The sequence below is a fragment of the Homo sapiens genome, chromosome 9, assembly GCF_000001405.40.
Source record: "Homo sapiens chromosome 9, GRCh38.p14 Primary Assembly".
Classification (NCBI taxonomy): Eukaryota; Metazoa; Chordata; class Mammalia; order Primates; family Hominidae; genus Homo; species Homo sapiens.
The window spans coordinates 25,478,018-25,496,010 of record NC_000009.12 but is presented as its reverse complement, the minus strand read 5'-3'; the positions used below and the strand labels follow the sequence as shown (position 1 = coordinate 25,496,010).

The window sequence follows — 17,993 nt, the reverse complement described above, 5'->3', positions numbered from 1 at the left end:
ATTTTCACCCTTTCTACTGTTAGCTCTTTATTAAGCCAATTTATTGTGCATCTGACACTCACAGATTGTCTGTTTGTAATGGGCTAGGAACTGAGAATGTAGAATTGAACAAGATATAGTCTCCATCTTCTCCGTGCATTGGGGCTAATAAGCATGTGAGAAATTATCAGAAGGGTTTTGAGAGATGCTATTACGCTATTATACAAATTGGTATAAAACACTAATGGTACACATAAACTAGGTGACTAACATATTCTTTAGCCCTAGAGAAGTCTTCAGAGAGGGAGAAACACTAAATTGTTCTTAAACGTCTCATGGCATTTCACCAAGAAAAAGAGATTGAAGTTGGCTCTCCACGCAAAAATTCAAAAACAAAGAAGTGTGAGAAGATGACATTGAGAGAAATGGAGAGACACTCTGGGTAACCAGATCATATTGCACATGAAAGAACAGTGAAGATGTTACTTAAAAAGAGGGTGACACGACTGGCATGGTGGCTCCCGCCTGTAATCCCAGCACATTGGGAGGCCGAGGCAGGTGGATCAAGAGATCAAGGGATTGAGACCATCCCGGTCAATATGGTGAAACCCCTCTCTACTAAAAATACAAAAATTAGCTGGGCCTGGTGGCGTGGTGGCATGTGCCTGTAGTCCCAGATACTCGGAAGGCTGAGGCAGGAAAATCGCTTGAACCTGGGAGGCAGAGGTTGCAGTGAGCCCAGATCACAGTGCACCACTGCATTCCAGCCTGGTGAGAGAGTGAGACTCCATCTCAAAAAAAAAAAAAAAAAAAAAAAAAAAAAAAAGGGTGACACCACGTTGTTAGGAGTTGTTTATGTCATGTAATAGAATTTGAGGAAACTTTGAGTTTTTAAATGGAGAATTTTTACCTGAATTGTGTAAAAATAACAGTAATAATAATTTTTTTTAACTAAGTCAAGCCTCTTTCTATTCCTTTCTCTGACAACTTTCAAAGTGTATGGCGGGGCGGGGTGGTGTCCATGTCCATGTGACATGTGGTTGAGATGCTACCTTTCCTTCTGAGTTTATTTGATATTTCCATTGTCTATATATTATTTCTTCCAGATCTTTCATTTATTTATTTTTATAATGTGGTATGCATGAATCTTTGTAAGTTACCTTAATTCCTATTTCGAAGGAGGTTTAATATGAATGAATAAACAAAATGGAATATACATTGTAGCAAGAAGATAATGATATGGATTAATTAATTTTACATAAAGGAAAACAAGGTTACATCAGACAGAATTTGTCTATATCTATGGTTATGTGTCTCACAAATTCAGATGACTCTGAACAAAATGGAAAAATACAGATAACTCAGTGGAACCTATTATTACTATGAGAGACACAGCCTGCAATTAATCTAATTTGTATATCTTTTTCTGTGGCCATAACATACTATATTTAACATGCATGAATTTTTGGCATTATTCTTGTATTCTAAGTTTCTTTTTATCTATATCATCAGTAGTCTTATAAAACGTTACACACATTCACACAAATAGACTCTTTTAGAAGTAAGGGTATAAACATAACCCTTTAGGGTGATGTGCACTGTGGCCAAAACCCCTCAGATATTTGCATGAAAAATGGGTGATCTTAACTTGAAAATGTATTGTAATTTTGAAGTCTATTCCTTAGCAGTCAACTTCTTCATATTTTGAATATTTGAAATATTTGATTTTTTTTATAATTAGGCTGCAACAAAGCATCTGAATACCTAGAAAATCATATTGACTATTCGGTCCTCATAAACTTGCTGCTCCCCTAGTGTTAAATCAACTTGAATATTTGGAGGAAATTAAATGTTAGCCTTCAAAGAGATTTATTCAAAATACATATGAATTATCAGAGTAAAATTTGAAAAGAATATCTATGAATATTCTTTCTTGTACAGATGAAATAAATGTGTTCATAAGTGCTGATGGGCAACGCAGTGTGTATTAATCACTACTGGTTTTATTTGTTATAGTCTCCTTTTACACTTTCTGTAAATATGACGTTTATGTCAACCTTTCTGTTTTTAAGTACCTATTGTGACAAAAACTAAGTGCCTTAAATACTTCAGTTAGAACAAAGATGGCATTTTACAAATATTTTATTTTTCTGGTCTTTATTCATAGCATGGATTACTTTGTGTTTAACTATCTTAGTTGAGTTCAGGCAAGAGCTGACGTTCTTTGAATGATACAAATCTTGGTCAGTTTATTGTAGAAAAACTTAATGTAAATAGTCCCTTTGAAGAGTTTTCATTAAGAAAGAGGGCTGCGTGGTACAAAGGAAAGAGTCTTGGACTGACAGTCAATAGGGAAATAACTACTTGAAACTATTTGTTTCACTCACTATTTTAAAGCTGAACTCCCAAATTCTCTTTTCCACTGCCCATCAAAGTCCTAACGTCTTTTTTTCCTGAATTGTTGTCTCATTACCTTCATTTCCTAATTATCTTTCTCCCTCTTTCAATAACTGGCTATATGCCAGGTGCAGTGACATTTTTACAGTTTTAATAAAATTTAACTATGAATCTAACTCTAATAATCAAGCATCTCAGGCTTTTTAAATTGAAAGTTAAACAATCCAACAATGTATACATCTAGAAAGAATGGCACAACTTTTATTTCTAAAAGGAGCTATGTAAAATTAGCTTTAAAAGAGACATATATTATTTAATCACTGATTTATTTATAACATAAACATTTAAAAGAGTTTTGCTGTTTTTGAACATGTTTTGTGCAGGGTAAAAACACAAGTTGTCACCCTAATACACTACCCAAAACAAGTTGTCGTGCTAACACACTGTAAAAAAGACGTTTAGGTTCCAGGCATTATGGATCAACAGGGACAAAATTTACCTCCCACTTCATAAAACAGAAAAACAGACACTATATAAGGAATATTAGTTTTGAGAAATGGGATAGCAAACAGAACAGGACATTTATTCCTGAAAAGAGCGACAGAAACAAGATGAGCTCTACCACTGCCCTAGCTGACTGCTTGGAGGCAGTTTGCAGGCAATGTCATAGTGGAGAAACAGAGTCCAGATTTCTCATGAAGTTGAGGAGACAGAGCTTAGAGGTTAAGCAGCGCAAGAACCTATAATTTGCAAAGCTAAATACTAGAGAGGAGACGCCTTTATAAGGAGAAAGTCTTCAGATCTTGAGATGGAAGAGAGGTCTCTTTAAGCCCGTAGTTGGGCGCTAATCTGTTCATGTGTGATAGGGAACTATCTGAGGCCATGGAAAGAACCACTGAAAAGAAGGAGGTCAGAGAATTCCCGAAGCTCAAAGAGGGCTGGTGTTGCCATCTGATAGTTACTTGGAATCAGTTTGATTCTTTTGAAGTTTGTTTTAAAGCTCTTTTAAGAGCAGGTTTAGAATAGCCTTTAGTAGAACTGTTTTAGTCCTACTACTGAGGTGATACCCTTCTGAAGAGTCTACATGGTGCCTTTATTACAAGCTGTTTCTACTCACTAGAAAGACTGCAAAAATAAACTTTGACCTCTGTCTCATATCATATATAAACATTTACATGAAATAGATCATTGATTTAAATATAAGATCTAAAACTATTTTTTAAAAATCATAAAAGAAAATACTTGTGAACTTAGTTGAGGTAAACATTTTTTGAATAAGGCACGAAAAGCGTGAACCATTAAAAAGTTGTTAAATTTGATTTTATTAAATTTAAAAATGTTTGTGCTTCACAACCAGTATTAAGAAAATGAAAAATTAAGACACAAATTGGATGAAAATATTTGCAAACATATTCCTAATATAAAACTTATATTTAGAGTATATAAAGAACTGTTACCATATAATAATAATAGGACAACTAACTTTATATTAAAATAGGATAAACCAGAAAGTAAGGAAGTATGCAAAAACAAAAGATTTTGGCCATATCAAAAGGACACAGGAACCAACCTGAAAGAGTTTTCATTGGCCAAAGCTGGAACAATTCGACTAACAAAATAAATAAAGTACCATATAACTATAACCAAAGTACAAAACATTAATCCTGACATTAGTTATCGAGTAAATAAATGTGGGGAAAGGGACAACTCTTCATTACAGAACAATTTCAAATCTTACATGGAAATACTCCTTCCACTAGGAGGTAAGTCACAAATTTCATATTATGTTTACTAAACCTTTTTTGTGAAGGGAGGATGAGAAAGCTTTATGTTATCTAGATTGAGATTTTCCATTCTTGACTTACTATAGTTTAAGATTGGCTTTAGAAAATCAAAATGATAAAAACCTGTAAGTAGAAGCAGAATACTATCCTCTAAATAACCTGAGATGATGAAAACAACCAAACCATCATTGATACAGCAAAAGAAATGTTGACGAATGTAAGCAACAGAAACATTAACAAGAATAAAATTAACATGGCTTCTTAAATATATATTAATAAAGTGATAATGTTAAGCAAAGTGGAATTCAAAACAGAGAAAGAGGGGCATCATAAATAAGAGATAAATTATAATGAGTATATGATAGTTTATAAATGTACACGCCAAGTATTGTAGCAAAATACTTGGAGAAAAGTGATTAGAACAAGGAAAATAATTGAACATAAGTAAAATTAGAGTGATAACACTGAACGTACTTTACAGCCTTTCATAGAAAAAAAATAAATGTCAAAAAAGATATAAATAACTTAAATAATATAATTAATCAGATTAAGTGAATAGGCACAAGGAACATAACTTTTTAAGTGTGCCGAGAAGGCAAAAATTTATAGCATGCTAATCTGTTACACACATTCACAGAATTTAGATATGTGTAGCCAATTTATATGCCAATTTATTTGATCATTTAAAATACAATTGTTACCAGAAACAAAAATACTGTTTCCTTTTTTTAAAAACAAAAATCTCTCCTAAATGAATTCTATGTAACAGAAGAAATAAAAACTTTAAATAAAATAATTTTTCATAATGAAAATATATTTTATCAAATCTTGTAAGACATGAACAAAGTAACATAAAATGAAATATGTAAATAAAACATAGTCTATATTTTTTTTGAAAAAAGTAATATCTTTCTTTCCCATCACAAGGCTCATGGCTGAGGTACCTGTAACAGAAGACAAATTAACAAGTAAAAAGCTAGCAAATGGCCAGGCATGGTGGCTCATGCCTGTAATCTCAGCACTTTGGGAGGCCGAGATGGGCGGATCACGAGGTCAGGAGTTCAAGACCAGCTTGGCCCACCTGGTGAAACCCTGTCTCTACTAAAAATACAAAAATTAGCTGGGGATGATGGCAGGCGCCTGTAATCTCAGCGACCGGAGAGGAGGTAGGAAGATCGTTTGAACCCGAGTGGCGGAGGTTTCAGTGAGGCGAGATCGCGCCATTGCACTCCAGCCTGGGCAACAGGGCGAGACTGTCTCAAAAAAAAAAAAAAGAAAAGAAAAAAAAAAGAAAAAACTAGCAAATTTACTTACTATGAGGTATATGTGACACCAGTGACTTTAGAAATGAAGGTAGAAAGAAACAGGGAAATCTATATATTTTTACACTTAGGTTTGATAAAGAGCGGACAGTTGTGGGGAAGTATCATTAGACAAAATAGGGTAACAAACTGGAGGGAATTAGCAAGGTCTGTTTATTCAGATTCTTCTCTATGTCCCTGGATCTATAGAGATAGGAACATTTCTTTCCTGTGAGGATAGGGTGGGCACCCCTGGAATGAAGTCTATGACTGTTTAAGAAAGAAAGGCAAAGGGAAAGTGAGAGTGACCTTGTTGCTTATTCTGTTTTCTCACATTATAACCTGCCATATTTTTAGTTAGCTTTTCCTGACCCACATCAATATAAAAACAACAATACAAAAAAAAATAAACATAAAGGAGGCACACAAAAAATGTTGTGAAAAAATACTACAGAAGAGAGATTAAGCATCTCAACAATAATAGTGTTGAACACCCCTGTTAAAATAAAATAAATATTTTCAGATTTTATTTAAAAAATCCAACTGTGTATTGTTAGCAAATGATAAAATCCAGGTCTGATGAGACCCAGAGCTTGTAAAATTGTGTGACTCTCTTTAAGAAACTGAAAGTATCATTATAAATACAATCTGACGCACAACTTTGGAAGGTTCCTAAAATGGATATCTTATTAGTTTGATGTTCAAGCTGCCTCCAGTTGCACAATTTCCATATACAACAAAATAAATAGAAAAGCTAAAAATAAAGATCACCGAAGGTAAACCAAAACAAAAAGAATAATGCTAATAGATGAATAAAATTTAATACAAAAATAGGAAATAAGAAATAGAGGATCAGTTCATGTTTATAAAATTTCCCAAAATATATTACAATTATGAAGAGTTCTGTAATAAATGAAACAAAATGCATTTAGGTAAATATTTTTTAAATAAAGAGGTTTGTGAGAAAAAATTTTAATAAAGAAGCATACATCTATTGAAATTTAAGTAGATTACATATAATTAAGAGCTTATAAGTGGAATATGATATAATTTGATTTGTATATATTATGGGATGATATATGAAATATAGATATTGAAATTTTTAAATTTGAATATAATTTTAAGTATACATAAATCAAATATATCATCAAACAAAACAGAATTGTGTTGTGAAACATTATTTATACTTTTATTTTATGTATAATTATATTTTAATTCTCCATAGGACATTTACTGGGCAAAATTTAATGCTAGGAATGTTTCAGAAGAATTATCTGCTAAAACCTCATTAAAATATTTTCACAAGGACTTATTCTCAAAAATATTTAAAGAGCCATTTATTTTATCTATAGATAGTGGTTATCTACTTTATTCTTCTTTTATTTGGCTCTCTTTTACACTTTTAGATTCCTTCAAACTTTGTAGGAAACATTTTTCAGTGTCCTTTTGTGATGGATTAGAGATGATTTCTGCCCCTTTTCAATTTTGGGTTACTACAGAGTGACTTTCCCTACTACCAAATACTGGCTATAAACAAAGTTCTTTATTTGGCAGAAGTCTGGAGATGTATGGCCTTGGGTATCTGCGAATTGAATGCAATAGTACCTGTACAGACTAACAGAAAAACACTTAAGAGGCTATATTGTGAGTGTTCGAGAATTTTATCCATTCGGAAGTCCTATTCAAAGTTAAGAATCTATGACTGTAATTGTTTCTATTTCATTCATTGCTATCATACTCATCTTTTCTTCATATACATTACATAGAAAAGTTCTTCATTTTTTTTCCTGATTAGTACATAAAACCATACATTTCTAACCAGTATAACCCATGACATCTGCTTGGCCCAAAAATGAAGTCACATCCAATTTCAAAATTTAAATCCCGTTATTAAACACTCACTGGCTTCCAAAATCTCTCTCTCAGTCCCATTTCCCCATCAAAAATTGTTCTGGAATTCTGGGGAGTTATCCATTACAAAGAGGTATTCTTATTTCCAAATACCTCCTTTTTGGAAAAATTGGAATAACTTGAATAGTTCAAAAGAGAAACCCACATTTTCTGCTATAGTTATCTTCATTTGTGCCAAATAGTGTCCCTCTTGAAAACAGATATACTAACAGGAACATACATTGACTGCTGAGATAATTCTAATACTGATGTAGATTTTTAGAAAGTTATGGTGGAAAGTTCTTTTAAGAGAGAATTATCTGAATCTTCTGAGTTATACTCCTAGGCTCCTTGCAATTGTTCTTATTGCCTCCCCAGGGGCTAGCCCAGGAAACTAATTGATATTGAGAAGGACAAAACTCTTCAATACACAGAAAAGATTTTATTTCACCCTGACTTTAGGGAAATGAGTGTGAATTTGCCTTAAAGTTGCAAAACTAAAGACGCCAAAAAGAAGCATTTCTGAAAATAAAGAAGCTGAAATGGTATTTGGCAGCTTCTTTCCCTGAAATGTTAATTTCTATTTAACAACACACTACCAGTTCAGATTCTGTGCAACTAGGCATTGAACTAGTTGAGCTCCTTTGAAAGATACCTTGATTATTTGGCTCCACTACTTATCTGGACAAAATAGCAAAACTATTCAAAAATGTGTAGATTTATCAAGTCATAAATAATCTATTGCATTAAGTTTCCTTTTACTTTCATTAATCATAGAAGAGGGGCATATAATAGTGCTCAACATTAAATAAATGAACTAATAGCCACAGATCTTTTGATTAGTAATATATAGAGCTTTTAGTTATTTTGTATAACTGCAGTAAGGGTAATGATCTAAATAAAACATCTAGTCCAGGACTGGTACAGATATTTAATTTTATAATTAATATAGGGATAATTTTCCAGATCCTAATATAGTCAGAAGCTTAATTATACATAACATATACATGGAACTTCAAAACAATTCCATGAGTTAGGTGTAGTTATTCATAAGTTGAGAAATTAAAGCTGAAAAAATTAGATTAACAGCTCAAAGTCAAAAAGGTAAAAGGTAGTCAATACAGAATTTGAACTTTGGCCTCTTGACTCCAAGTCTAACACACTTTACCCCATGTGTACCTAAGCCAACATGACAGAAACTGATGAGATGTTCCCTGTGTTTCCATCTGGTGGACTGAGAGAGTAAACTGAAACAAAGAAAACAAAAACAACACATAAACATCACCTTGGTCAAACACGTAAGCCATCTTGGATATATATCAGTGATATAGCTACTTTATCTGTAAAGATGTTTGAAATATTCATTCTTGGCCTATATATATAAACACACTGCTTTTATTCAAACTTCTAGCCTAGGTACTAAAGAGAATGTAAAGATGAGTAAAAACAAAATTCCTGACTTCAAATTACTTGTTTGAGGACCTAGGGTTCCCAAACACATTTTAGGTATTCCTGCATCATCACATTTAATCCTCAAAACTACTTAATTGGTTTGGTGACTCCTTTGGTCTAGTTTTCCCAGGCTAACTACCGCATAGTAAAAATTTAATAATATGGTAAAAGTTTGTGCGGGATCATAGTGGGCAGAGGGAATAAGAGGGTGTTATGTTGAATGATGAATATTCAGCATGTAACTGCAAAATACCCAAATTATCCAACCTTCTTCAGAGTCTCCCTCAGACAGGCGCGGTGGCTCACACCTATAGTACCAGCACTTTGGGAGGCCGACAGGGATGGATTATGAGGTCAGGAGATAAAGACCATCCTGGCCAACATGGTGAAACCCCGTCTCCACTAAAAATACAAAAATTAGCTGGGCGTGGTGGCACACTACTTGGGAGGCTGAGGCAGGAGAATCACTTGAACCCAGGACGCGGACGTTGCAGTGAGCCCAAATCACGCCACTGCACTCCAGCCTGGGCGACAAAGCAAGACTCCATCTCAAAAAAAAAAAAAAAAAATCTCCCTCATCAACTTCCTCTTCTCCCTTTTTCTATCACATCTTGAGGTAACTCCACATCTCTCTTTCTGAGTACAATATTTTTTCTTAAAAAGTGAAAAAAGGATGATTTATCTGCACTCAGGAAACAAACAAACAAACAACAGCAACAAACTCTAAAAGCAAGTACCAGGCTCAGAATACGACGCTCCCAGATATGGCGCTTTGGCATAAGAGAAAGGTCACTCTGATCTTTTCCCACCTTTTCTGTCTTAAAGCCATAAAAAGAATTCACTCTTTCTTCTCCCCTGGAAACCCACATGTAGCAGGTATCCTCTCCTATACCCAGAAGAAAGTAATACAAAGAGACACAGAGAAACATCTGAACAAATAGGCCTTGCTAAGTTTTCCTCAATTGGTTACCATTAGATGATACTCCTTTAGCCCAAACCTACTTCTATATTACTGTTTATTCTTCATCAAACCTAAGCATTAAAAATACAGTTTTCCCTGGGCCTTTGTGTTTTCATTCCTAAAGGCTCCATGTCACATAAAACTTGAATAAATACATTTGCTATGCTTTTTTCTTCTAATCTGTCTTTTGTTATAGGGATGTCAGCCATTAACGGTGTGATGGGCAAGGAAAAGATATTACCTTTTCTCCCCTACATGAGCAAGAGTCACTACCCTCCTTAGGAGTAGGGGTGGAGACAGGCTAGATTATAAACGACACTTGTCTTGATAACCAGAATACTTGCTGGCTTACTTAGAAATAGAACCAGGATTCAGATGATGACTAGTTAGAATCTAAACTAGCATTTTTCCATGAAATCATTCTACCTTTCCCATAAACCACTATAAAATATGATTATGCATAAAAAAAACTAAAAGATCACCAGAATTATCTTTTCCACTTAATTTGAATAAAATGTATTTATTTAGAAAAAAAACAATGAAGGTTTGTTGTCCAAGGCTGACTAGAATTTCCCATCTAGCTCAATTTTTTTTTCAATATTCTACATTCTAGAATGGTTTTAGCCTGCTAATTAACACTTAGCTCAGACTTCACTGATATAACCAAAGGGAAATTTCTTTCTAAGTTAAATTTTCAGTAGAAACAAACCAACAAACAAATACCCAAATAAAGAAATAAAATCTTATTCTTGAGGTTTTAGGTTGTTAATTATTATTTGGGGCAGTAGAGTCCTGTTATATTTTTAAAAATAGCATTAATTTTTAAAATACTGTTAACAATTCTTTTTTTGTTTTATTATTATTATACTTTAAGTTTTAGGGTACATGTGCACAATGTGCAGGTTAGTTACATATGTATACATGTGCCATGCTGGTGTGCTGCACCCACTAACTCGTCATCTAGCATTAGGCATATCTCCTAATGCTATCCCTCCCCCCTCCCCCCATCCCACAACAGTCCCCAGAGTGTGATGTTCCCCTTCCTGTGTCCATGTGTTCTCATTGTTCAATTCCCACCTATGAGTGAGAACATGTGGTGTTTGGTTTTTTGTCCTTGTGATAGTTTACTGAGAATGATGATTTCCAATTTCATCCATGTCCCTACAAAGGACATGAACTCATCATTTTTTATGGCTGCATAGTATTCCATGGTGTATATGTGCCACATTTTCTTAATCCAGTCTATCATTGTTGGACATTTGGGTTGGTTCCAAGTCTTCGCTATTGTGAATAGTGCTGCAATAAATATACGTGTGCATGTGTCCTTATAGCAGCATGATTTATAGTCCTTTGGGTATATACCCAGTAATGGGATGGCTGGGTCAAATGGTATTTCTAGTTCTAGATCCCTGAGGAATCGCCACACTGACTTCCACAATGGTTGAACTAGTTTACAGTCCCACCAACAGTGTAAAAGTGTTCCTATTTCTCCACATCCTCTCCAGCACCTGTTGTTTCCTGACTTTTTAATGACTGCCATTCTAACTGGTGTGAGATGGTATCTCATTGTGGTTTTGATTTGCATTTCTCTGATGGCCAGTGATGATGAGCATTTTTTCATGTGTTTTTTGGCTGCATAAATGTCTTCTTTTGAGAAGTGTCTGTTCATGTCCTTCTTAATATGAGTTGAGAACTGCAATGTGCATGATATATCCCCCAGTACTTTATTCATATTATTTTATTAAATTCCCTCAAAAATTGATTAAGCTATCTTATTCAATTTATACATTACACAACAAATATAAGGTACAAGGCTGTGATAATGCAGCAGTTAAAATTCATGCGTATCTAATGTCAGTAGCCAGTTTTGAACACTTAAAACAGAAGTCTCAAGCGCAAAACCTTACCAAGAAACAGACAGATGATATCAATAAGTGGAACAGTTAAAAAGGAGTTAAGTTAGGTAGTGGTGGAGACCGTGAGATGCTACAAAGCACAAGCATTGTTGTCTAAAGCATTCATTCTCAACCCAGCTTATATCAACACCAAGGGATAAATATTGGTTCTTGGAGGGTATGAGGAAGAAAATCTTACTATATTAACATATAAAGCCTTGATATACATACAACAAATATACATCTATATGTAGTATTACAGTTTCATGCGATAAGGAGGGGTGATGATGAAAAAGAATGTTAAGAAAAAAAGCAAAGACCACTGTTCTTGCCAGATTTTGCCATGGTACAATGTTAGATCATTATTGCTAGGACTTTCACAATTTTCAAGAAAATCGTATATTCTATTTTTTTAAATGACATTTCTAATTTCAAAAATACTATATAAGCCAAACTAAATATATCTATATGGCAGATTTGGTCCAGGGAAAAGGTCAAAGCAAAAATTGCACTGGACAAATATACATGGGAGAGGAAGGCTCATTCCAGGCTATTGCATTACGGGAATAAAACTAGAGCTCATTCAAAACTCAGCTTTGCTGAAACAAAATTCTGTGTTAAGTTTGTAGTATGTAAACTAGAAATCGAACCTGAATATTGAACTTCAAATAGGTACAAAATTTTAAAAAATTATCTCTCTTTAATTTTGACTCCCTTAACATTGCCATTGATATTTATTTTGGTTTTAGGTATATTTGACCCAAACATGTACTTAGGAATTGCCAAAAAGAGAAAAATACTCACAAAGAACCATATATTCTGCTTGTCTAGTAGCTAAAACCTTTTGTAAACTTATAAATCAGTGTTGTTAATGAGCAAACAATAGACTTTAAAAGTGCCGGTTTTTATTTACAAAATTTCAGATGGGCCAAAAATTAGATCGTAATAAAGGTAAATTTCATCAAATTTATTAGAATGGCAAGCAGAACTATTTTCAAGGAAAGGTTATTAATGATTGTTCAGAATATATAAAAAGCAAAACATTTTACCACCATTTAATATGTGTACTGATCTAAAATATTCAAATAGTGAATTCATATAAAACAATAATAAAATATAATGAGAAAGAATATGGTTGATTTTTTACAGTGAGCCATATTTTAGTTTTATATGAATCATAACTAAGCTTTATATATTTCTATGTACAAATAAGCATAAATGGCCTCAGCTTTGCTTTTGTTAAAACTGGTTGAACCTGATCCAAACTGTTTACCTGGAAATATTTGCAGTGAATTTCAAGCCTCTATAAAAAGAATTTAGAGCCAAGGAATTAAAAACTAAACTTGATTAGCAGTATAGATCTTAAAGCTATTATTCTAGTAGACAAAAGTGGGTTTCAGTCCAACTTTGCCACTTACTTGCTATGTGACATTGGAGAACATGAGGACACAGCCTTGAAGCTTTCCAATCACTGTGGCCTTCCTCTGCCTCTGCACCCCCTCTCTTATTCCCCTCCCCTCTCACCTCCCCATTGCTCTACTTATTCTCTTCTTTCTCTTAATCTTTTCTTCTTCCTTATTTTTATTATATGGAATTAATTTAGTAGCCATCTCTATTTGAAATAAAAATTTTGAACTCAGTGCAAGTAGGATTGTTCATATATTTTAATAGATTTAAGACTATAAGCATTCAGAACTTAAGAATGTAACTTTCATAGTAACTACCCAAAATAAATCACACTTGATAAGAGTGATTTGTCCTCAGCTTTATATTAGAAATTGAGGCATTGCTTCAACTCTAATACAAAGTGGACTTGTTATTGCTCTTAAGTTTGCTTCCTGCTTTGTAATTTGACTGAGATAACTATCCTCTGTTGGCATATTGAAAGTTCTTTCTGAGGTATCACGTTACCATGAGGAGCTGTAAGGACTTGTTGAGATCCTATTACATGCACAGTGCTGCAAATCTGTATTAATTTATACTGACCAGTATTGTATGAGAGTGGAAATAGTTTCTTTTTATCCCCAATGTTTTTATAAAATTTTCTGCCACAGAAGATTTCAAAGATACAGAAGATTACAAAGATGTAGCAGTTATTGCTTATGAGAAAGGGAAGGACCATGAACTCAGGAGTGTGGCTGTAAGGAGACTAAGGAACTGAGGTAAATGTATCGGATGGTTATGGATGCCACTATGAATATACGCTGGAAAGGACATGAACAGAAATATATTAAATCAGGTGCTTAACTCATCCATGAATGAAAGGAAGTTACTGATAGAGGAAAGGGAAGGCTGATAGATTATAGCAATATGGAGAGAGTGGGAAACAGACTTAACGACATACTTGTCAAAAAAGTTGGGGTATTTGAAGATCAAGGCAGACACCATTTCAAAGTGGTAATGGTGGGTCAAAAGAGCTCCTATCTGGAACTTGGTGGAAGGACAGACTGCAGGGGAAAGATGACATCATGGAAAAGGTAGATTTTACAAGGGGCAAAAATTTGAACAATTTGAAGATCTAGGGATTTGCTTTTATTGACTATGGATTCTAATGGGGGAAAATAAGTAGGACAAATGAATAAAAATAACATTAAGGGGATAAGTTTTAGGTGAATAACTGGTTTCTGGTGCTGATGAGGGGTCAGGCATGGTGGGATTAGGTCTGATAATCACTTAGGTAAGACAGTTGGACATTTTAAACTGGGTAGGTATAGACCTATTAGGCAACTGCTCTCTCCTGCTTGTCCTGGTACTGTGGAGATCAAAGAAATGTAAATGCCTCCCCAGGGAACAATTATCCTAGGTAGCTCAAACACAGATCTCTGAGCAGTTTCCCTCTAGTGAGGATGTGGCTAAAGTAGTAACTATCTCAGTTACAGCAGGTTTCTAGGAATTACATCTTCTTCACGATTGTAAGATGCTTCCCTTATTGGAGCAGAAAATGAATAGATGCTCCCTCTTCATTTATTAAAAGGTGTTGTAGTGGCTTAAGAACACTATACAGGGAGTAGCGTGCTCCTTCACTATAGCAGTGTGGTTTTGTAGCGTCTACAATTCACAGCCTGTAGGTGCTGTCTATTTTTCCTATGGTGCCTAATGCAAAATACATAGACATTCAGGTTTGACATGGTTAAACCCAAAGACCTTTCAAAGGCAAATTCAATATTGCCCCACAAAGAAATCGTGAAAACTCAAGACATGCTGGACTCCAATAGTAATTTACTGTTTCTGTAATCAACTAACAGTCAATAAAACATAAAAAATAATAAATAAAATCCTCAAACTCCAAAAATAAAAACAAAACATCAAGTCTGGAGCTGGATAAGTGAAAACTAATCTACACATACTTACATTGTAATTGAATTGCACATAATCAAAGATAGAGGGGAGATATTAAAACAAACTAGTAAAAGAGAAAAGACATTATTTACAGAAGCATAGAAGTCAGGCAAATAGCAGATTTTCAGTGGCTAAAATAGGCTCTAGAAGCACACCCACCCAGATTCTACTGCCAAAAATTATTATCTTCAGTGCTTAGGATAAAATAACCATATCAAAATTCCATTTCCAAGTAAACAAACCATTGAAAATGAGGTTGAAAGCAGGACAGTGTTAGAGATGTAAAGACTAAGAGTGTTTACTAGTTGCAAACTCAGCCCAGTGTAAAGGATATTCCTCAATACAATCAAACGTGAAACTTAAGGAAAAAGTAGGATCCCAAAAGATGATGAGCAAAGAAATCAGTAAAGCATGCTGATGAATCTAAATGAGAGTTGACATGAAAAAAAAATTGTTATTGGAGATTTTAAAAATGCCTTGGAACTGATGTATTTAAAAACAATACATATATATTTTAAATCTTTTATAACATCATATAGCTTGGGAAGAAAAATTGAAATACTGATTAATCTTAGAGTTTATTAAGATAAACATGCATTGTCAAAATTTATGGGCAAGCACTAAAATAACAGATATAATAAAAATAAATTTCAAAGTAGTAAAGGGTGGAAAAAGAGTAAACTCAGTAAAGCAAACAGGTAACGTGTAAGAAGGGATTTAAAGAGCTCAATTTTAATAAGTAGCAAAATAAAAAGACAATACAAAAGCATGGTGAAAAATTAAAAAGAAGAAAAGAAGCCTAAATATGTCTGTAATCGAAATAAATAGAAAACTAGAGATAGGGCTTTCATTTCTGGCAATATGTTGAATTACATGCATTGAAAAATTACTTGCTTCAAAACACTGAATATGTTTTTAAAATGTAACGAACATCAATTAAGATGCCCAGTTTACTTAAAAATTGAGAATCCACAGAGAAAAAAAAAACAAACAGAAACCCAATATGGTAAGAATATTATGTTTTCATTTCCTGGGGTACTTATTAATATCAATAACAAACAGTGCTGAGGTTTAACCATCCAGAGACAGAGGTTAAAGTATGAGGTATACAAATTCATAGAGTTAGAACTGAGGTATAGAACTAAATATGGTACTTTTAAAAGACTATAGCTTCTATTGAAAAGTAGACTACTTAAAATCTATCCTTTTGCAAATGAAGACCTTAGAGAAGTTTCTAAGCCTATGCCTGAGATCTGAATTAAAAATTAAAATTTTTTTTGAGAATTCCAGCTTTAGGTCTGCCTCATGTGAGTTTTGGGATTGAATTTACATTACTTTTTTGACATGGAAAATTAATGTAAAAGTAGTTCCTATCTGAGGCACCTGAAAAAAACAGATATAAAAACTTTCTGGAGAAATTTTCAAAATAAACATTGTTCAAAATTGAGCTTACAAGCTAAAATTTGGCAATATAATAGAAAGTAATTTATTTTGATCAAGACTGATCAGGAACCACAGAGACACACAGAGACACACACACACACACACACACGAATACAAATCCTTGAAAAATGAACTTCCTTAAACTTTTAATGGATGTTAACAAAAAGAGGAACTAACACACTTAATAGGGAAATTATAGAATTGCCCTTATAATCAACACCAAGACAAATGTTCTACTGTTACCCTTAATATTTCTACCGAAGTATAACCAAAATAATAAGTTCATAAAAGACATAGTAATAATATAGATAAAAGATAAATAAAAACTTGTCATTGGTTTCATAGAAAATTTAAGAAATTTGTTTTAGAATTAAATAGATAAATCAAGTTTACCAGATACAAATATCAGCGATCTTCTCATATTCTTGCAATGATCAATCTAAACTAAAATAAATATGTAAATAAAAGCAATTCAAAAACTTAAAACAGGTTGCAACAAGAATCATACAGCACCTACAAATAAATGTGACAAAATTATGAAAAAAACTATAAACATTTTTTGAATGATATAAGGTAAAACTGGTTTTAAGTAAGTGGAGACAGATATCTTCCCAGATCAAAAACTAAATATCATAAAGATAAAGAACTTTCCAAATTAATCTGCAAGCATAATACAAACCAACAAGATAATTTATAGAGCATGACAAATTAATTTTAAAATACATTTGGAATGAATTGTGTCACAACTCTTAAAAAGAAGTAGTAGAAGGAAATTGCCCTACCATATACAAGAATTTTTTTACGATGTAACAGCAATGAAAATCATGTAGAATATGAAGAAATAAATCATTTGATCTAAGCAGGAGACTTGAGAGCCCAAGAAGTGATACATACGTGAAATGGGTAAGTTAAAAAGTTAGAAAATGTATTTTAAAGTTTGACTTGTTCCTTATGCCCTAAATAAAGTTAAATCCACTTTGGTTTTAAAATATTACCAAAGAAGACATTGACAGTTTTGAGAGAAAGAATCTTAGTAGCAGAAAAGTCTAAATAAGACCAAAATAAGGTGCTAACCACAAATAAAAAGACTGATATATTTAATAAAATAAAGATTAATAAATCTTTTTGGAAAAGATACCAAAAATAATGTAGAATGTCAAACATCAAACAGATATAAAAAGACATATAATCTATTTTTCTTTAGATATTGCTGCGTATGTTTACAATGTTGGCCGGAATTTGGAAGCTGGTGAAGTGATTTCACGTTGTCAGGGGTGCTTGCCATACACTGATGATGGCAAAGGAAAAGATGCAAGAAATGTGAGTTATTAATGATGTTGTTGAGCTGCTGGATAAAGCAATTTGTGAGACTCATTATCTTGGACTCTGTTATTGAGTGATATAGTTTCCTATTGCTGTTGTAACAAATTACCACAAATTCAGTGGTTTAACACAACAAAAACTTATCATACAGTTCTGGAAATCAGAACTCCAAAATGGGTTTTAATGGACTGAAATCAAGGTGTTAGCAAGCCTATATCAATTTCTAAAG

General features: G+C 33.4%; 1 long non-coding RNA gene across 1 annotated transcript in view; it reads left to right on the top strand.

Moving 5' to 3' along the window:
* Positions 1 to 17,694, top strand: part of LOC107987056 (uncharacterized) — a 52,442-nt gene extending 34,748 nt beyond the window's left edge. The window contains exon 3 of the long non-coding RNA XR_001746637.2: positions 17,646 to 17,694. This is a non-coding gene — a long non-coding RNA (uncharacterized LOC107987056). The remainder of the gene's footprint in view (positions 1 to 17,645) is intronic.
* Positions 17,695 to 17,993: the final 299 nt, after the last annotated feature.